At 37.3% G+C, this 23,066-nt stretch overlaps 1 pseudogene, besides 1 other annotated feature; it reads right to left on the minus strand.

Annotated features, from left to right (window-relative positions):
- On the minus strand, positions 3,377-3,625 carry IGHV1OR15-6 (immunoglobulin heavy variable 1/OR15-6 (pseudogene); annotated as a pseudogene).
- Positions 10,100-10,149: an enhancer, noted in NCBI's record as "active region_9153". NCBI's record gives its function as "activates an Ori minimal core promoter by ATAC-STARR-seq in GM12878 lymphoblastoid cells {active_cell/tissue: GM12878}" and the evidence as "EXISTENCE:reporter gene assay evidence [ECO:0000049][PMID:35858748]".

Raw genomic sequence — 23,066 nt, forward strand, 5'->3', positions numbered from 1 at the left:
TTGGGTTGCTTAGAATTCTATTTTTAGTTTATAGGACATATATGAGACTTATCCTAATCAGGGGTATCAGAAAATATTCATTGAGGTAATCACTTTAAAGTTGAGACATGAAAGATGGTCCCAGATTCCTCCCTGCAAACCTTCTCTCCTGATACTAGAAGAAAAGTTACAAGAAACAAATGTTAACATTTCTTCTGTGTTCAAAATTGCCCCCCATTAGGAAAATAATTAAACTTGCAAGACTTATCTTTAGAAACAAGTAATCTAGTTGATTTCTAAAGTCCTTTTACAAACCCACAGATTCTGATTAGTTTACAGATTACATAGAACATCCCATCTAATGGGAATCTGCAATTAGCTGGATTCCCCTGCATTTGATTTTTAAATGTTGAATTTATACAGATACATAACAGTTCAAAACCTTTATGTGGTACATGTGATATTTTGATAAAATAATATGTGCAGTGATCAAACCTGGATAACCGGGATATCCTTCATCTCAATCATTGATTATTTCTTTGTGTTAAGGACATTCTAAATTTTCTCTTCTAGCTATTTTCAAATATACAATAAATTATTAACTGTAGTTGTCTATGTACCATTTTAGCATTCCCAACAGCAGTAAGTGAAAGTTCCTGATTTTCAGCTTTCTCTTCACCATTTGGTATTGTCTATATTGTTTATTTTACCCATTTTAGCAGGTTAGCAGTATTTTTTGAATATTAAATGTACATTTACCTAATAAAAATCAAACTGATCACTTTTTATCTTTACTTTTAGATGTGGTTTCTCTTCAGGTCTTTGCCCATTTTAAAAATAAATTTTGTGGTTTTGTTTTTGTTCAATTATAAGTCAATTTATATATTTGTGATAAAAGCCCTTTTCCAAATATTGGATTTGCAAGCAAATTCTCCAAATCTATGGCTGATCTTTTCAGTCTCAGTTAAGGGTTTATTTTCAAATATCTAGGTTAGTTTGTCCATCTATGAAAAGAGGATAATCTTAATTCTAAATTCTTAGAATTATTAGAATAATAATGTAAGTTGAAATTATTCCAGTATCTGGCCCTTCACAAGTTTTAGTATAACACCAGTGAGAAAAATTTGCAGATTGTTCTGTGTAGACCAGAAATCAGAAGGTGATAAAGGGGCAATTAGATTTGAATAATCCGGAGATATGAAGTGTATTTGGTATTCACCTCCTTCTATTTCTCTATGAAGACAAAATGGATAGATGACCTCTCCATGTGAAATGGGACACATAAGTTTTTAAGATGATTCTGAAAGAAAGTTCCTTATACAATCACTCAGGTGATGTTCCAAACACAGGGCTGTGGAGGGGATGGTGGCTGCCGGTGGTTGCTGTCAGCCACAGGGTTGGTTTGTTTCCCACAGGTTCCAGAAATAGTTTCTAATAACAAATGTCATATTTTGTTTAGAATTGATTTATTTTTTATAATTTATTTTCTCCCTGTAGGCAGCACTCAGAAGTATGTTCTCAGAATAATTCCTGATCCTCTGTGAGTTCCTGGTGCAGCTCCTGGAGGCAAAGCCTGCATGGGGGAGGGAGCCCTCCTCACATGCAGCCCTGAGGCTGCCACGTCACTTCACCCACCGTTGCCCTTCAGTCACTTCCTGAACACTTATGAGTTGATCTTCCTGAAACATGTGGTATTTGGCAGTGTCTTTCCCAGGTAAGATAATACTTCCATTCTGTTTATCCCTGCAGGCACCTGTCCCTTTCTGGAATATAAATTGGTTTCGATTGTGTGGTAGTGGATAAGTGGGGGGAGGAGGTTTGTGTGCATCTTGTCATCTTCCAGAGTGCACCCCTCATGGGGTTGACAGTGACAAGCATGCAGATGGGCTTGCTCAGCTGGAAGATGACAGGCATTTTGGTAACCTGTGACCCCAGTGAGGCTCTCTCGCTGCAAGATCAATCAGGCTCAGGCCTCTGGCTAAAGTGCAGCCAGCAAGGGGTCCAGTGCCCAACCCTGAGAGCTCCTTCCAGGTACCAAACCACTTTCTAAGGGAAGCTTTTTTCCTGCCTGGATCCCATGCATGTGTTTGTATTTTCTTCACAAAGGCCTTTATCCAGAAACACCCCCCAAGAGCTTATAGTGTTTTGAATTCAACTGAAGGGCATTATTCATGAAAGCCCTCATGGCCAAAGTCTTCACTTCTCATTAAAGGACATTGATTATGGGATTCACCAGAAGCTGCTGGCCTTTCACAGGCACAGACCTTCCTCTACACCAGTGGTCCCCAACATTTTTGGCACCAGGGAACGGTTTCGTGGCAGACAATTTTTCCATGGATGATGGCGGTGAGTGATTATGGGATGAACTTACTCCACCTGCATTCATCAAGCATTAGATTCTCATAGGGAGCACTCAAACTAGGTCCTTTGCATGCCCAGTTCACAATAGAATTTGGATCCTAGGAGAATCTAGTGCACAGCTGATCTGACAAGAGGCGGAGCTCAGGCAGTGATGCTCACCCGCCGCTCACCTGCTGTGCTGCCTGGTTTCTAACAGGCTGCTGACCAGTTCTGGTTCACTGCCTAGGGGTTGGGGACCTCTGCTGTAAATGCTTGGAGACCTTACCCTCTGGGAAGGGGCATAGAAAAACAAGTCAGATGAGCTCCAAATCAATGTACATTTTATGGATTCTTGAGGAAAGAGTGCAAAGAGGAACGTCCCCACCCACTTTCCCTCTACCTGGCATCATTCCCAGTAATCCGCTTGAGGAACCCGGGGTGTTTCAAGATAGTTTAGGCTTGTTATACTAGGGGACGCCAGAAAAGGAAACAATTAATGTGTCCATGCGGGTTTGTCAGTTGCAAGTTATTACTTCAGTGCAGGGTATTGATCACGGAGAAGTCTGTGCGTATCTTGGGCAGGAATACATGGGAACTCTGTTTCTTCTACTCAAATTTGCTGTGATCCTAAAAGTGTTTTAAAATAAATGTAATGTAAAAAAAGTGGCAAAGACATTTTGGAAGAAATGTTGGCCACTTCTTAGAAATTATGTTTAGTCTGACCACGTGATAAAGCAATCCTGCTCCAAATGATTTATCCATTCGATTTTAAAATGTTATGTCCCCACAAGGCTTCCATGGGAGTGTTTGCATCAGCCTGATTGATTGCTGCCTTTCCCACTCTGTGAATTTTACTTACAGGGTGAAAGTTGAAAAGACTATTTCCTATATAATTAGAGTGTATACATCTTTCTATTGCTTCTTTTCCTCAATTACTTAACCCATTTTCTAAACACGTTTAAACCTCATAAATCCTGTCATCTTCTCACCCCCAGCACAGCTGCCTCCTTCCTCAAGGTTTCTGACACTCTCAGGATGTGGGTTTTCACACTGCGTGTCTTGCACATTAATATACGGCTGTGTCCTCAGATCTCAGGCTGCTCAGCTCCATGTAGGCTGTGTCTGTAGACATGTCCCAGGTCGTGGTGACTCTGCCCTGGAATTCTGTGCATATATTGTTTCACCATCTTCAGGATCAACACGTTCCATCCACTCAAGCCCTTTTCCAGGGGCCTGTCGCCCCCAGTGTATGTAGTGGAAGGTGAAGGTGTATCTGGGATCACCTTCACTGAGGACCCAGGTTTCCTCACCTCAGCCCCAGACTGCACCGATTGGACCTGGGAATGGGCACCTGTGGAGAGGACAGAGAAGTGGTTGAGACTCCACTTAACTGGACCCAGTCCCCTCATCAGCCCTGGAACTTAGGATTCTCTTCCCTGTGGCTGCTGCCACCAAGAGGAGGATCCTCCCGGTCCAGTCCATGGTGAGGTGCTGTGCTCTGGGGGCTTCTGTAGGGGAGGGATGTGGTTGTTGTGTGATGCTCTCTGGGCAAGGACAGATCTGTATGTACCTCGGTAGACAGCAGTGCATTTGCATATTCACGAGGCAGGTATTTCATAGCTCAAGCCACCTCAACCTGAGGAAGAAGATAGGTGACACACGGACCACGCCACAGTGGGATGCAGAGCTCCCTGCCCTGAACTTTGTTTAATGATATTTGCCCTCTGTTATGCTCAGAAGTCCATGAAGACAGAACTCGTTTTACAGAAAACCAGAATCTCCCAGGACATTGTCCTCAATGTCATTTCTTGTTCATATGGCACCCTGACAACCTGAACTTTTCCTGGGCCTTGACCTCTGCACATCTAAATTCTGGGATGAGTGTATCTTCCGACAGTAACACCCATTGAATTAATAAAACCACTCTTCAATTCCTAACTATAAATACATTTGAAAAGACTAGACATTTCTCCTTTTAAATGCTGTTTGCATTCAATTATTTGGTTAGGTATAGGCTACATATATAATAGAATACTTAAAGACACATCAGTACTTACTACATTCTTATTTAGATTTTAGGTTATTATTGCTTTGAAATAAAGAACATTCAATTCCTGAGAGAAAACCCCTCCCCAGCCTCCTGTGAACCTGCTCCAGGGCTGGATCCTGTGCTGGGTGCGCCCTGAGCGCCCCCTGCAGCTCAGCTCCTGCCCTGCAGGAAAGTTCCTGTCTGGGCTCATAGAGAATTCTCCTCCCAGCGTCTCAAGCACAGTATGAAGTGGCCTTGCCCTGACTCAGAATGCTCTTTCAATGGCAGCAATTGCTTCTCCCACCATCTCTTACAGTAGCAAATAGGCCTTAGAACACCCGACATAATCTACCGGGAGACCTCAGCACAGCAACAAGGAATCACTAAAGCCACCAGGGAGCCCCTTCCCTGGAGTTCTAGGTGCACTGATAGGGTCCGGACACATGGCAAGTCTAGGAACCGATGGGAACTTTGGGGCAGCCTCTATTTTTTTTTAGGATTCTGTGGTTGACGATCACATCAGATTGTAACTTTACACAAAGACCCTATGTCTCAAAGCACCCCCCCCCCCACACACACACATACACTCACAGTGGCACATTTGCACAGTAACGAGACTCAGATTTGCCCTCCTTCCAAGTGTCTTGTCAATGAAAAGTGCTTCCAACACTGGCCATAGTCCTGCTTGTGTTTGTTGTTGTTATTTTTTCCAGACAGAGCTAAAGCAAGCTCAGTATTACTGGAGATTTGGAAAGTGCCTTCATGTTCTCTTTGCCAGTTCTCACCTGGGAACCCTGCAGATGCCCCATGAGAAGTAAATCTAAGGCCATTGAGGGAGAGGCTGTGACCTTGGTCCTGAAGCTGTTGTTCTCAGAGGCTTTGAATCACTTCACTGTCCTTGACTTGTTCTCTCCCACTGCCTTTGGTTTCCCTAAGTTGTAGTGTTTGGACAGAGTCTGTGCATTATCACACTTTTCTCTTTAATCCAGATTAATCCTATTGGTGAGGAGGGGAGGTGATGCAGTGGACAGGGGAGCAGTATATGTTCTGGAAATTGACTTCCAATGTTTTCTTGCTGTGTTTTCTCTAGGCTGCACCCTTTACAAGGAGTCTCCAGTGGTACAGCGGATTTTCCTCCATCCTCCACTCCCCCTCCTGGCTGCAGCATCCACAGATTATTTTCTTGAATCTGACCCCAGTTGTTTATTAATTATACCCCTTTTCATGACACGGGAAGGCTAAGATGAAGCTGTCTGGGATGGAAAAGAATCCCTTCCTCTCACATAGAATAAAGATCTTGAAAAGTATTTTGTCTCTGTAGCATCTGTTAGGAGAAAGTTCTGGGCATATTTATCACAGAATAGTTCTCCTGACGACAGAGCTACGAGTGATTCTGTTTGGACTCTCATCTTGAGAACCCAGAATTTTCTGGAGGGAAATTCCATGATAGTGTGGGGTGTGTGGCCCCCCAGGAGTTCTTACCCCATCCCTGTCCACACCTGTCCTCCAGACATTTATGGAATTACCATGTTTCCGCCAGCTTGTGCTGTCAACTGAAGAATCACCCAATTTATTGATTTAGAAAGGGGACTTTATTTCTGAGAAAGGATTGAAGCTGCAGGACGGCCATCTTAACAGGCTGGGAAGCAAAGCCTCCCACAGAGACATTGAGCAGGTACTTCAAGACAGGGAAAGACGAGAAATGAATTCATGTGAATGCGTTGGCCAAGTATACACACTCAGCAGGCTATAGGAGCTGTGGATATTCACATGGCAGGCATGCTCTCAGGTCTAATAATCAGACAGACACGCTACATGCACTTCATGTTTGCTTTGGGGTGAGGACTTAAGAACTAACTGAATTACAGTTGGGCCCTGCACATCAAAAGGGCTTTGTGCAGGGGCGGAAAAAAACACAGTGCACAGCCTCTGGAAATTGGTGAGGCCAAGTCTATGGTCAGTGGTCTCTTTTCAGGAGAAAGTTACTGAAATCCATCTCTTGTCCAATCAAAGCTCTATTTATGGCTTGTGAAACAAGGTCACAATTACTCCATGTCTGAAGTTCCATGAACTGCAAATGTTTTAATATTGCTTATCTCAGGACCAGTGCTTGTTTAGCTGTTAGAGAAAAACAAAAAGCCCTGTGGCAGTTACAACATAGTCTATTTTTTAAGTGTAGGGGTGAGTGACTTAATCCCTGCCTGGCATGGCCTTAGGTCTTGTTTATAATTGGGTATCTTATTGCCACAGAAAGTTTGTCCCGTCAGTGTTATGATCTCTATTTTAATGTCTTTCTAGTTTTTGGGTCCTGGTTTTCCCTGCAATTTCATTTCTTCAATAGATCCAAGAAATCATTGATAATCAATTTTCCAGACTTTTATTATGGTAAGAATGTGGGTGATGATTGACATGCTCTTTACATATTAAAGCAGAAATCTGAAGTAGCTTCAGAGATCACGAGTGACGTGAAACAAGTAGAAGGAATCTCATCTCATTAAGTGTAAGTGGCACCACACAGATATAGCTCAACATACAGTGACACAGAAGAATCACAGCACATGACACATATGTAAAGTTTTTATGATTCTGAGCCTTTGCCCAGGAAGCTGTAACTCAGATGGTACTACAGGGATGGACTCAGTTCTCTCTCAGGTGATACTGTTTTGGAAGCTTATTTCCACTCTTGCACTGGATTCAGTAGCTGCACCTGGGCCCATACCCCTAAAACAAACTCTCATTAATTAAACACAAGACCCATCAATAAGAAAGTTGTCCCAGGGAAGGTGCACAGCAGGGACCTCTGCTTTTGGGAACCTGTGGCTATGCAGGCAGGGTCAGGAGTGTGACCCATTTTCTTCTCCTCCCCCTGCCTGCTGCACAGACAACTGAAACCAGGAGCTTTCCATTGCTAAGTATATAAAATACGTGATAGTTCCAGGGAAATGTAATACACATATGAAGGAATGAGGAACCTACATAAAATTAAAATAAAATGAATATATTAAATATACAACACTGTAAGAGATAATCACGGAAAAGACAACAAATATAAAAAACCTGTGTGTATACGTGTGACATAGTGTTCTTGTAAATTAAATCGTAATTTGCTTATGAAGTCCTTCAAGTAGGTACAGAATATTTGCCTTTTGATTGCCACAAAGATGAAGAATCTGGCACCAAGACTCCAGGGCCATGCTAGTGACTTTCCCTCCTATCTCCTGAGGACACGGTGCTTCCAACTCTGAGGATCAGGATACTGAAATTGACTGTGTGAGAAGAGAAAGTGGGATTTTCTGTGGGAAAAGACTGTTTTGAGCATAATTTTCAAGTAATAAATATATTCTACCAGGAGACACACTGCCATCATGCTGACGGTGTATGTTGCTTTTGACATTAACATTATGATCATCAATATTATTGGGGTGTTCCCTAGAAAATGACCAATTATCACAGAATTAACGAGTCATTTTCATTTTAGTTTTTTTTCACACTTCCAGCTAAATCCACTGAGTTTACTGAGTTTGAGCATGGAAATTTCAGGGCATGGGTTACAAATGATGGAGTGGAAGTTTTCCTGGGAGTTAGATATAGTTTCGCTAAAGGAGAACCAAGGATTTTGCTAGAAGCTCCCCTCCTGGTCTATCCCAGCACCTGCTCCTCAGTGTGCCCCTTCCTGTCTGACTCCTAAGCATCTCTGTGGTCCTGGACAATGCATGTCTGGGGCATCTGTTTCCTAGATGTGCATCCACAGGGCAGGCTGCTGTCCCTAATTGTTGAGAGGGAGCTTGGCCTGGATCCACCCAGGTGGCCCCACCCTGAGCACTGAGCTTCCTCCCAGCAAGGAGACAGGGTCAGCTGAGCGCCTCCACTTCACAGAAATTCTAGGAGGCAAATTCAGTCAAATCTCAACATAGTTTTGGCATGCAATCCAGCACCCATGCTCCTAGGTATTTATCTATCTGACTTTCAATGTATGACCACAAAGAAAACTACACATGAATAATCACAGTAAGTTCATTCATATTTGTCAAAACTAGGAACACTCAAGAAGTTCTGTAGGTGAGCAGATAAACAGTCGGCAGTAAATTCATAGAATAATATTCAGCAATTATAAACAAGAGCTATCAAACCATAAAAATACATAAATGAATTTTAAATGCATATTGTTAAGTGAAAGAAACAAGTCTGAAAAAGCTACATAGTATGTTATTTATTTGATATTCTGGAGAAGTCCAAACACATAAAGTGATTCTGTATTTGCGAGAAATTTAAGGAGATGATGAAAATGGGTAAAAAATAGATTTAAAAGGGTGATGAAAGTATTATGTATAATATTATAATGGTAAATATGTGATATGAATTTGTTGAAATCAACAGAATATACAGCATAAAGGGTTAATTCCAATTCACAAAAATATAAATAAATAGGAGATTAGGAATTCCAGGATAGAATGCAGACAATATAGAAAATATCTAATGTCATTACAAATGTATGAAATCAGAAGAGGTGCCAAGTGACTTCAGAAATAGTGTAGTCAATAAAAGAATAAAGAAAGTGCACGTCAGAACTGTACCCCAGCTGATGATGTTCCACAAAAGAGCAAAACATACACAATCTGGTTCCACTCTACAGAAATCCTGGAACTGGACTACAAAGGGAATAGACAGGGTGTGGCAGGAGGGGGTTCCTCACGGTTGGAGTGCGAGGTTAGGGACAGGAATAGAAGGTAGGTAATAAACATTCATGTGGTATTAACTTAGGGCAGATGTGTCAATATATTTGCAAGTTTAGCATAATATAGGTATAAAAATTAAATAAAAATAGTTTAGATGTATGTATATATATGGGTTAATACACAACACATACCTCCTAGAGTCATTACCTGAGAGGTTCTACAAGAAAAGACAGCAAATTAACAAAAAATACACCCAGAATCAAGATTTGAGTTTTGGTTCCCTTCATAGCAGAATGGTATGCAACATTTCTTGGAAAAATGGCTAATCCTAGGGCTTGGAAAGAGAATATAGGAGTAAAGTCTACAATTTCTCATGGTACCCAGAAAATAAGAAAGGGTTCCAAAATGAAGAATCGCTCCTTTTGCAAACCTTATGGTAACAAATATAATATTTATAAAAAGTGAATTAGGTAATATGTTAATGGAGAAATAAACATCATTATGAAATGCTATCTTAAACAAAAAATAAGAGAAAATATTAGTTTAAAAATAGAACTTATAGTCGATTTAAAAAAGCAAGACCAAACTCTTAGCTATGCACAAGAAAGTTACTTTACACATTCACAAATATAAAAGGATGAGAAAACATGGATTATGAAAATATGAACCGAAATAAAGCTATAGTAGCTGTGCAAATTTCAGACAAAATAGACATCAGAAAAGACTTTTAGGACTTAACAGGGATATTACATAGGATAAAGTTACCAGTTTTTTTTAAAGATGCCAAAAAAGACTTAACAAATATATAATAGAGGAAGAATACCCCATTCATTGTGATTTACAGAACGTGACAAAAGAAATAAAGATGTCAGTGACACCATGCACGGAAGGGTGTCCTGGGGACTGTGAGGCTTCTTTGTACTCATGGAGGGCACCACCAAGAACTTCCTCTTGAATTTCTCCCTGTAGCCGCCCACATCAGCCCTGGTCTTGGAGGCTGCTGAACCACGATTATGCTGCAATCAGTGAAGGAAGCTGAAATTGTGAAAGTGAAACACCATGGCTGGTCATGTGCCAGATGATGTTGTGTTCTGCAAAGTATCTCCAATCCTGGGTTGGATCCAGTAGGTGCACTTGGGCACCCAAACCGGAAACAGGGATTCTTGTTCCTTAAACACAAGACATTCCAATGAGAAAGCTGCTCTCAGATGAGTTGCAGATCAGGGAGGAGGAGATGGAGGTGTCCTTGGCTTCCCAGAATTGCTGAAACTTGAAGATCAAGGCCACCTCTGAGAGGCAGAGACCCACTTGAGTACATGGCATCAGCTCTGTCTTCAGGAATCTTTGGCTGTGTGGGAGGATAAAGGATATGATTTCTTTCTTTCTCTCACCCAACGTGCTTCAGAGACAATAAAATGGAAAATTAAATAAATATGTTTTCTTTCCATGTTAGGGGAGAGAACATGTATAATTCATGGCAATACAAGTGCTCACTTCAGAGCCTGCAGGAGCAGCAAGTGCACAATTGACGGTCGCAAGTACTCTACCCCAGGAAGCAGATGCCCTGAGATCATCCCGAGTCCTGCCCTCTGGATGCCATGCATCTGTGGGACATGGGCTTGTGCCTGGGATCTTGTAGCTAGTGTGGAGAGCTGAGCACAGCTCCACTCCTCCACACTGTGTGACCTAGGATGTGGTCTCTTCCTCAGAGCTTTATTCTAATAAGGTGTTAATATAAAATAGCAGCAGTAACTTTATCTGTAACGTTTTAGGTAGGAGCCAGTGCTGTTCAGAATCGTTAACCACCGTTGCTGCCTCCACCCTTAGAAACCGGAAAAATACCTGTGTGACCTGTCATCTCAGGCCTCAGATGACCACATTGCAGAGAGCACACCTGCTTTGTTTCTGTCACTAACATTGTATTGGATACTGGAAAACATGTGTACCTGGTTATAGAATGTATCTTAATTAGGTTATATTGGATAAAATTAGAATTAGTAGGTGACACTTAAAACTTAGCTGAGGGGATTTCTAAGCAAAGTGTGGATGGTGTGTTTTGATTTCTCCTTGCTTAATATAATGAGAGGAGATAGATAAATCAAAGAGGAAACTATTGAACAATGTGGAATGAGGTATAAGGAAGGAAGGCTCTCACATCTTCTGGAAACCCCATAAACTTTTAAAAAATAAAGGAACTTTAAGACACATTTCTACATTCTAGATACATGACTAATATAAACTTGGATTTTAGTGCAAAAAGAGGTTAATTTTCACAGAAGATGAAAATTAATTAGATGAATATTCATACACAATCTACAATTTTGTCTTTACATATTTTTGAAATTTAAATAAATTGCATCAATATTATGTATCCTTCTGCGACTTGCTTTATGTTTGGTTTGTGGAAGGGGAGTTTACATCATTCATTTTCAGTTCCGAATATATCCAACTGTATGAATATATCTTATTTATCTGTTCTCCTGTTCTGTGTTGTTTCCAACTTTTAATTAATATTAACAATGTTATATTGAACATTGTTCATACACATGAGAGTTTCTCTGTGTCAAGGAGAGAGTTCCTTAGTCATAGAGTGTAAGTATCTTTATCCTTTTTAAAAATTGTAAATTATTCTTCAATCTGATTGTACCAGTATATAATTCCACCAGTGGTTGGAGAGAATTTCCACTGATGTACATTCTTTGTCAAACACCTGATACTGTCAAGTTTTAAAATTTACCATCCTGATGAGCATTAAATGCATGTTTTATTTGCACTTTCTTGATTACTACTGAAGTTGAGTATATTACCCATATGTTTACTGCTAACTCAAGTTTCCTCTTCAGTGAATCATCTGTTTATATTCTTCATGATCCTAACAGATATTCTTTTTCTAATTTATTTGCACGATTTTGCATATGTTTAGGATACAAATCCATTGTATCCTAGATAAACTGCAAATATCTTCTTTCACTTTGTGCCTTGTCTTTTCACTTTTTATGGTATCTTTTAAAGTACTTTTTATTCTAATGGTCAAATTTATCTTTTTCCTGTATGATTTATGTGTACTTATTGTTTTAGAAATCCTTCCTTAATCCAAGGTGATAATACTATTATCCTGCACTTTCGAAGAGTTTTAAATTTTGCTTTCACATTTTTACTAGCTTTACTGAGGTATACTACACATACCGCAAAATTCACACACTTTGTAAATGAACAATTGACTTTAAAGAATTACATAGAGTCATGCCACTATCATTACAATAGAGTTGTAGATCATTTTTATCATCCTAAAAAGTTCCCTGTGCCCACTGGCAGTTAATTCCCACTCCCATTGCTAGCCCCATTTAACCACTTATTTGCATTCTGGACATTTAATATAAACAGAAGCATACAGTATACAGTTTTTTTGCATCTGGCTTCTTTCACTTAGCATTAATAGTTTTAGGACTCATTATGCCACAGTATGCATCGGCAGTTTGTTTCCTTTTAATTGCACAATAGTATTCCATGTATGGCCATAAAACATTTGGTTTATCCATTCATCAGCTGATTGACTTTTGGATTGTTTCTAGTTTGGAGCTATTATTAATAATAGTACTGGCTGGGCACACTGGCTCATGCCTGTAATCCCAGCACTGTGGGAGGCTGAGGTGGGCGGATCATCTGAGGTCAGGAGTTCGAGACCAGCCTGACCAACATAGTGAAACCCCGTCTCTACTAAATACACAAAAAAATTAGCTGAGTGTGGTGGCGCACACCTGTAGTCCCAGCTACATGGGAGACTGAGGCAGGAGAATCACTTGAACATTGGAGGTGGAGGTTTCAGTGAGCGGAGATTGTACCACCATACTCCAGCCTGGGTAACAGAGTGAGACTCCATCTCAAAATAATAATAATAATAATAATAATAGTACTAAGAATATTCATGCAAAGTCTGGCTATGAACATGTTATCACTTCTTTTGGATACATTCCTAAGTATTGTAATACTTTTTAAGAAATTAGGAAATCCTTTTGGAACATGGCTGCAGGATTTTGCATTCCATCAGCAATACATAAGCATTCAATAAGTAGTCTGTGCTGTGGTTTTGTTTTCATTCAGTTCTAACTAACGTCTAATGTTCTTTATTTCTTTTTTGACTCAAGAATTAGTTATGTTCTTTACCTCCAAATACCTTGCAATTTCTCAAACCTCTTTCATTCAAATTTAATTGTGTGGTCAGGTAATATACTTTGAGTTATTAGTTTTTAAATTTACTGAGACTTGTTTTATGTTTTATAGCCCAACTCATAATACATTTTGGAGAAAGCTGCATGTGCACTTGAAAACAATTTTGCTAGCTTGAGGTGGAGTGTTTTATAAATGCCAAAATATTGCCCAATAGGATGTCGAACAGGGGTGGTGAAACCAGGCTTTCATTATTTGTTAGTTATTCAAAGGGGATGCTTCTAACATTTCATTACTAAACTGGACTGTGGAAAGCTTTCAGTAGATGTATGTTACCAGATTTAAGAAATTATTTTCTATTTGTGGTTTGCTAAAAATTTTTATGATGAATGATACTGAATTTTATAAAATTTTTTGCACACATCATAATTATATAGCCATTCTCCTGTTAATAAATAGAGGAAATGTTGTCCTGATGTTAAACCACCTTTACATTCTATCACTACCCTCAACTTGGTTAAGCTGTATACTTTTAAAAAGTAACCGATAGACTCATGTTCATAGGGGAGATTGACCATAAATTTCCCTTATAATTCCCTTGTAATTGGATAATCCATATCCAATTTTGGTGAATAAAATTTCATCTAATTTTATTAGGTGAAACAGTGGCTGATTCCTTCTTTATCTAGCTAGGCATGGGAAATTATAAGTGAAAATACAGATTTTTGGCCTTGCCGTTACTCTGTTTAATAGTCTCGCTTTGTGTTTCATTCCCTTCTGCCCTTCATTATTTCTTTTGCCTTCTTAGGCTGACAATTAATGAGGTAAGCATAACTGAGAACCTAGAAAAATGAAAATCTAAGTACCTTTCTGCTTTCAATATAAATGTTTACAACTATGAATTTTCTCTAATATCATTTAGACCTAATCTCACAAGTGTAAATATACATATTTTTTAACATTTTTACTGCGTTTTATAATTTGCATAATGAATAACTTCTTGTTATAGTTATTTAGAAGACACATATTTCTATTTTCTAACTTTAATTTTTGTCATTGATTTCTTGTTTAATTGCACTGTTTGCAGAGAAAGTCATCTGCATGACAATTTATTTAAATTTATTAAGCCTCCTTTATGGCCTCATTTAAATAATTTCTATAGTTCTGTGTGCTTAAAAAGAATGTGTATGATACTCAAGCCAATGGATTTTTTTTTTTCAAATTATACTTTTGAGATTTTTTGTAACTGATCTTTTAAGGAGAAAAATATGTTAAAATGTGTAAAATACTCTTCCAAATTTAGTCAATAATAGATTTCTATAACTCACCTACACTAAGTGTATATGCATTTGAAACTGTTTTACGTTCCTAGTGAATTATACCTTTTTCATAATATGGTGCCCCCTTCATCCTCATTAATTTTTTTGCCTTAAAATTTTTATATATTTAAATAATGCAATACCAGCTTTTAACATTTAATTTTTAGAATAAGTAGTACATTTACTTAGTTAAAAATATATGATGACATAAAAAGATACACAGAGAGATTTTACAACTCATCCGTTACATTTACACATCACTCACAGCTCCCCCATACAAGTGAACACTTTATGATTTCGCATTTCCATACCACTTTCCCCTTCTCTTTTAAACGCACTTCATTTTTAGAGCAGTTTTAGGCTCACAGTAAAACTGAGCAGAAAGCAGGGAGTCCCTATGTCCCTACCCCTACATACACACAGGTTTCCCCACTGTCAACATCCCTCACCAGAGTAGTATATTTGTTATAACTGCCTATTGACTTTTTAAATGCAAATAAAAATACATCATTTGTTCCATTTCTTTAACAGACAGCATATTTTTTTAAGTGTATCATCACTCTATTCATCAGACATGGCACCTTTATTAGCACTAAAATCTGCTAAGTATTTGGGTCACTCTGTGGACTGCACTTTGCTCTGTTTATTCACAAATATGTACTATATTGTTTTTATTAAATATTATATTTCTTTTAATATTATACAGCTAACTTCCCTTTGTTGTTCCCCTTGACCTTGTGTTCTGGAGTTTCACTTTGTGATAAGATTCCATGCTAATTTTCCCTGATTGATTTTACTTCCAAAATCTGAGAAATCAGCTCTTTCATCAATTTTGTAAAACTTCAGTAATTTACTTTGAATATTGCCTCTTCTTCATTCTCTCTTCCTCTTTTCTGTAACTCCTATTATTCATATTTCCTTTCCTTCTTTCTCCATCTCTCTGAATTTCATGTTTGTAATCTTGTTTATTGGCATTGAATTCTAGGTAATTTCTTCAGTTCTATTTCTCAGTTCACCAATTCTTTCTGAAGCTTTGTTGAATCTGTTTACTGTTTCCATATAGGTGTTCATTGTAATTATTACCTTTTCATTTCCACAAGTTACTTACGATTTTTAAATTACATGGTTTATTTTAAAATTACCTTGTTTTTAAAATCTTGTTTCTTTTAATATGCTTGATTTTCATTTCTGGCATATGAAAATTTCCTTTACTTTTGTGTGCACACCTATATGTTTAATAGGATTTTTGACATATTTTTATCCAACATTTGTAAGTTTTTAGTAGTTCAAAGTGTTTCAGGATATCTAGTTTTTACACCCATCAGTTTTCTCTTCTAAGAACTCTTAATAGTCACATGTGAAGTCTCTTATTTTGTAAGGCTTTATCTTTTCTCTCACTCTCTATTTTTCACCCATGCTTTGAGATCTTCCAGTCCACTCATCAGGGTGAACTGGTTAAAAAATCATCAGCTAAAAGAGTAGATTATTATCTTTCGTGCTCTATTTGAATCTCAAAAGCTCTTTGTATAAATGAAATTTAAATGTTCCACAATAGCCTCTACCATAGTTCTACTTCATTGGGTACATAGTTTGATGATTCTCTCATCCTGCTTCTGGCTAGTAGGCCCCTTTAGATGAGTTGCTATTTTTCACTATCCACAGAGTCAAGGTCAAATCTCATGGCTGTGAATTTTAAATGATGAGATCCCCACAGGTGGTGTCAGGCAAAGCACCCTCTAAACTTACTGACTTGTAGTATAAAACTTAGCAAGCTGTAAGTCCTGCACCATGAGCCCCTGAAGCCAGCATCGTAGCACTCCAATCTTCCTACACACCGACCCACAAAAGTTTAAGGACAAGAAGATTTATCCCACCATTTCAGATACTTCTTGGCTTTTTGTGGACTGAAATAGGTCAATTAAAGTTTGTCTTAAAGTTTTAAACTTTAAGTGACTGTCCGTTTCTCCTGTAATTTCTATTTTATGAATGTTTCTATTTTATCATTATGAAGAATTCTTCTTTATCTAACGGTTATTGCTTTTTGGCTTGTATTCTAATTTGTCCAATATTAAGATCATGATTCCTACTTTTTGCTTTCTTTGTACTTACATAATAAATCTTTACTCATCCTTTTACTTTCAACCTTTCAAAACCACTTTGGTTTTTTTGTATGTTTCTTGCATATAGAACTGGGTTTTATTACTGTGATCAATTGTGATATTTTTCTTAACAGGTGATTTATAAAAGCTTCTACATTTATTTTTTATGACAGCATGACTGGTCTTAAGATATGTCATATTTTATGTTATGCTTACTGATCTTTACAGATTTTTTAAGGTTCCATTACATATATTGTTCTTAGTTTTATCCATACAGATCTTTAATATTTTGGAAGCTCTATAATTTTATAGAACTGCTTATCTTTTTAACTATGAAAGAATAAGTAATCTTCCATCGGCTTAAAAAGGGTATTTCCTTACTATGAGAAATGTAAATGTCAGCATATTTACTCTTAATTTTTTCCTTTCATCTACATCATCAAATTTTAGTCAACAGGCCTACATTTGTAATATTTCATCTTTCCGCTTACATGGAAATTCTGACTCTTTGCACTTGCTCTACTTTCCTTCTTTTCTCAATCCTCTCCCAATTCATTACAGTTGAGTCATTTCTACATTATTAGCATATATAAAAAGTAAATTCTGGTCTGTCACAGTAATATGAACGTGTATTTTATTCTTCGTCTTATGGTTAAATTTATTCAGTGCTCACCAGCTGTCCTTAGCAATAGTTTCTCCAGTCATTCGTAGTTGGTTGGACTTCATCCCCAGCAATTTCCTCAAGATTTAGTCACAGAAATAATTTGCTGTATGGCTAAAAAATATTTGATGGCATTTTTTTTACTTAAAGGATAGTTTGGCTCCCACTTTCTTCATTTAAGTATCTGATGATTGTGGTAGTTTTTTGTACTGAAGGTTATTTTAGAGTCTAAAGCCAGACTCATTTTTCTCCTTATTTTGTGCACTGTTATACAAAGTATTCTTATATTTAAGTCCAGTAATACACCTTGATGCTAGCCACTCTAGGTCAATTTTCCCTAGCACACAATATGTCCTCTAAATAAGAATGGCAAAATCTAACATCAAGACTTCATTAAATTATAGATTTAAATATTTGTCTAGTTCCATTGTTCTGCTTTTATTTGGGAACTCCATTTATGCCATTATTTATTTATTTATTTATTTATTTAATTTTGAAACAGTCTCCCTCTACTGCCCAGGCTCTGGAATGCAGTGGTGCAGTCTCAGCTCACTGCAACCTCCGCCTCCTGGGTTCAAGCAATTCTTTTGCCTCAGCCTCCTGAGTACCTGGGATGACAGGCGCTCGCCACCATGCCTGGCTAATTTTTGTATTTTTAAGAGACGGGGTTTCACCATGTTGGCCAGGCTGGTCTCAAACTGCTGACCTCGTGATGTGCCCGCCTCAGCCTCCCAAAGTGCTGGGATTACAGGTGTGAGCCACCTCACCCAGCCGATTTATGCCATTATTGTAATTTGTTTTTCTCTCATGTCACTCATTTTCTTTCTAATCCTAAACTCACATTTTCACCTATTCATATGATTTGCTTTTTTCAGTTTTATCTTCTGTGTATTTCACTATGATACTAGCCAGGGTTTTGCCTTTGAGCAATCTCCAATTTTATTTTTTTGTGTATAGTTCTTTTCCTCCAATACTTGTCCAATGTTTTATTAGCTCATAATTAAATACTTCCATGCTATCTGTTTTAGTCTGTTCTCACGCTGGTATGAAGAAATACCCAAGATTGGCTAATTTATAAAGGAAAGAGGTTTAATTGACTCACAGTCCTGCATTGCTGGGGAGGCCTCAGGAAACTTACAATCATGGTGGAAGGCAAGGAGAAGCAGCCACCTTCTTCACAGGGTGGCAAGACGGAATAAGGGAAAGGAGGGGAAATGCCAAATGCTTATAAAACCATCAGATCTCATGCGACTCACTGTTACAAGAACAGCAGAAAAGAAACTGCCCCCATGATCCAATTATGTTCCCCTGGTCCCTCCCTTCACACGTGGGGATTACAATTCAAGATGAGATTTTAGGTGGGGGAACACAACCAAACCATCTCACTATGTTAACATTTCTAACAACTTTTTTTTTTCAGATGGGGGTGTTGCTACATTGTCCAGGCTGGATTCAAACTCCTGGGCTCAAGCAACCTTCCTGCATAAGCCTCCTGAGTAGTAGGATTACTTCTCCAAATTATGTTTAGTGGTTCTTTCTCAGAAGCTACTTATTTATTTTTAACTTATGACAGTAAATTTCTAAATCAAAATGCTATATATTCCATAGCAATATTTTTATGCTAAGTGCTATTCATGTACTGGTTACCTTAACTTTTTTTTTCCGTGTTTTTTATCTGATACATGCACTGATGATGTGCCAATTCTTTGATACAGTCTAATCTGCCTGGCCCATCAGTCTACAGGATGCTTCCATGCATATGTGTAAAAGGGACAAGGGTAACCTTTTTGCTTTCATAATCCAAAAACTTTCTCTTTCTCTATAGCCACAGAGATAGACTGCTTGCCACAAATACAGCTCATCTGTGTAATTCTTTGTGATATCTTCTCCTTTTCTGAAACCAATCTGATTCAAAAAAACTCTGCTATCAGGCATGATATATGTGTATCTATTATTTCAAAGAAATGATCTATTTTTTTATTTATTATTATACTTTAAGTTTTAGGGTACATGTGCACAATGTGCAAGTTAGTTACATATGTATACATGTGCCATGCTGGTGCGCTGCCCCCACTAACTCGTCATCTAGCATTAGGTATATCTCCCAATGCTATCCCTCCCCCCACCCCCACCCCACAACAGTCCCCAGAGTGTGATGTTCCCCTTCCTGTGTCCATGTGTTCTCATTGTTCAATTCCCACCTATGAGTGAGAATATGCGGTGTTTGGTTTTTTGTCCTTGCGATAGTTTACTGAGAATGATGATTTCCAATTTCATCCATGTCCCTACAAAGGATATGAACTCATCATTTTCTATGGCTGCATAGTATTCCATGGTGTATATGTGCCGCATTTTCTTAATCCAGTCTATCATTGTTGGACATTTGGGTTGGTTCCAAGTCTTTGCTATTGTGAATAGTGCTGCAATAAACATGTGTGCATGTGTCTTTATAGCAGCATGATTTATAGTCCTTTGGGTATATACCCAGTAATGGGATGGCTGGGTCAAATGGTATTTCTAGTTCTAGATCCCTGAGGAATCGCCACACTGACTTCCACAATGGTTGAACTAGTTTACAGTCCCACCAACTGTGTAAAAGTGTTCCTATTTCTCCACATCCTCTCCAGCACCTGTTGTTTCCTGACTTTTTAATGATCGCCATTCTAACTGGTGTGAGATGGTATCTCATTGTGGTTTTGATTTGCATTTCTCTGATGGCCAGTGATGGTGAGCATTTTTTCATGTGTTTTTTGGCTGCATAAATGTCTTCTTTTGAGAAGTGTCTGTTCATGTCCTTCGCCCACTTTTTGATGGGGTTGTTTTAGAAATGATCTATTTTTGAAATTTAAGGTGGGCCTCTCATCTTCAGAAACTGTACTTTCACTGACAGTTCCTATTTGCTATAATTGAACTCTCTCACCATGCTCTTTGTATTTTCTCTTCTCTTTAGCCTTAACAGCTTTTACCCAACCTTAGCAACTTTAAGCAGCTGATACCCATATTCTGGAGTTCATACATTTGCATCTATCTTGATAAGAGAGTACAGTTTTTTACTTCTTGTTGTATCATTTATACATTCTACAGGAAAAGGGGAAAATAGGACATCTTAAACACCATGTTTACACAGGAAATTGCCTGCATGTATTTTTAATTTTGTATTAACTGAGTTTTCGTTTTTTTTGTACATTTTTTAATGTGCTTTCTTGATATTTGAGGAGGTTGCATCTTGGGCTACAATCCTTTAACTTTCTCCAATCAATTTATTTTAATTAACTGAAGTTAAGTAAGTGATCTTTATCTCTTAAAATAAAAAGGGCATATGCTTCTTCACTCCCAGTACTCTATCACCAAGTGAACTTATATATATCTATATATATATATATGATCCATATATATATAGATAAATATATCCTTCTCTACAATCCTGGCTTTGTTTGAACTATTCCTTATATCCATAGTATATCTAGTCTCCCTTAATCATTGTTTGGTACCAAAATTTTAAAAATATTTAAACTTCTAGGCTATACAGCTTGTTAGACATGTCTTGTCTGAATTTTGTGCAGTTTTCATGATTATTACAAATAAGCGCGTTGCATATTTAAGCAAGCACCAAAAAAAAAGGGCAACACTGAGGTTTTCATAGGAACCCCATCTAGTAACATTTAAATTACAGTTGCACTACTTCCTTGGCTTCATTTGTAAGGAAATCTACTCTTAAAACTATATTCATACACTGGATAGTGTAGTACGAACTGCAATCACTAAGCCAGCAGTAGTTTCTTACACAAAAACTGTTCTTAGAAAGTATTCAAATTCTGTATTTGGGGAAAGAAATGAAGTATTCTAGCATCTTGAAGTCACAAAATTAATTAATAAGCCCTACTGTTAGAAACTAATAACAAAATACTGACTCAGCATGTAAGCATAAGATCAACTCTCAGAAAGACCTCAACATATACATGATATTTCCTTGTCAAGGAAGCTTTCCTTGAAATCATAGTCATATGTGCATCATTATATCTTGACAAAATATTTTATTACATCTATAGATAATGCTTTCTTTTCAGGAAGCATATAGAAATAAAACCTTGTTACTTAAATTGTAATCTTGTTCCATAATCTACTATTAATAAATTTTATAAAACACTCTTACTACTTCTACCACATAAAGCTATTATTTTCCAGTGTTAGATTATTCAAGTCAAATTTCATGTTACATTACATATAAAACTCATAAAAACATAATCTCAATAGTTATTTCTAGAATGCATTACAACAAATATCAATTTACTTCTGACCTAAATGCTTCAGAAAGTATCCCAGAACCTTCAAAGCTTGAACCCAAATACTTTCACTTTTAGAAGCCAATAAATTGTAGATCACCCTAAAAAATATATAAATAATGTTTAAAAACTTACTAATATTAAAAACAAAAATACACTACATACTTTACAAATAAATTATACATATGTGAAATATAAAACTTCTCTGAAGATTTTATTCTCAGGATTATAATTCCTTGGAAAAATTAAAAACTGGCATGCTTTAATAATTTTTCTTTAAACATGTCCTTCAACCATATACTCAAAAGGGCAATGTGACTGGTATTCATAAGTACTGCCTCCCAACATACTAAACACGATTTTCAGTTTTAAGACACATGCTTGTTTAGGCCACATCTCTTCTAAGAATTGGCCCCAACATTTAAACTTGATAACCCTATTTTCTTTCTTTTTTTTAAATTTTTTGTTCTTAATTTTAATATAGAGGTGAGGTTTTGCCATATTGCCCAGGCTAGTCTGGAATTCCTGAGTTCAAACAATCCAACCACCTCGGACTCCCAAAGTGCTGGAATTACAGGCGTGCGCCACTGCACCCTAACCCTCTTGTCTTGGTATGACTGATTAGATAATAGGTAGGCACCTGCCTAGTTAGTGCTCTTTTTTGAGAATTTGGAATGAGGTCTAAGAAACAATATCTCCTCTTTGCTGGGCTCTTGGATTCGAAAATTGTTTAAAACAGAAACTAGAACAGCAACGTTTTGTTTCTGCTCAGAAAGGCTAGTCAACATACAGAAGGAAGGATTAAACAGCTTACAGAAAGCAGCAGAGAAAGCAAACTTGTTTCCTAATAGCCCTACAATTCCTGGTTCCTACTCTAAGATTTTTTAAACAAACATATTATTCAGTTTTTACTTTAAAAGCTTGAGAAGTTTTCTGTTACTTGGAGCAAAATAGCCTCCACTAATATACAACCTAACCTATACAATCACTTCAAGTACTACATAAAAGTAGGGCGATATTCATTATAATATTCGTAAGTGTTTAGAAATTTTATTCCATATTTTTTCTATTTAAAAAAATTATTTGTTTCCATAAAGTAGAAGGGACAATGACAACTATATACACTGGCAACTAATTCTAGAATATAAGGTTCTTTAGGGGCTATAAAATTATAGTTTGCTTTATTTTATTAAATATTGTTTCTTAAAAAATAAAATGCCATGGTATATTTTGAGGTAAAGTACTCAGCTGAAGAAGAGAATCTAGTAAAAGATGCAATATAATTTTCATAATTTCAGTGATACTTACAAGGGGGCACAAATAGCTTAAACATAATGTCATTATTTTTAGTTTTACCAACAGCTTATACTATTAAAAAAGAAAAGATGTTATTGGTACTGTTTCTTTTTCTCTTTTTTTCTTTTATGCTTTGCATTTCATCTATTAAAGAATAAACTACAAGAAAAGTGATTATTTCCTTTGGAAGATTTTTTTTTCAAATCCCACATTCATA

This window comes from Homo sapiens, chromosome 15, assembly GCF_000001405.40.
Source record: "Homo sapiens chromosome 15, GRCh38.p14 Primary Assembly".
Taxonomy (NCBI): Eukaryota; Metazoa; Chordata; class Mammalia; order Primates; family Hominidae; genus Homo; species Homo sapiens.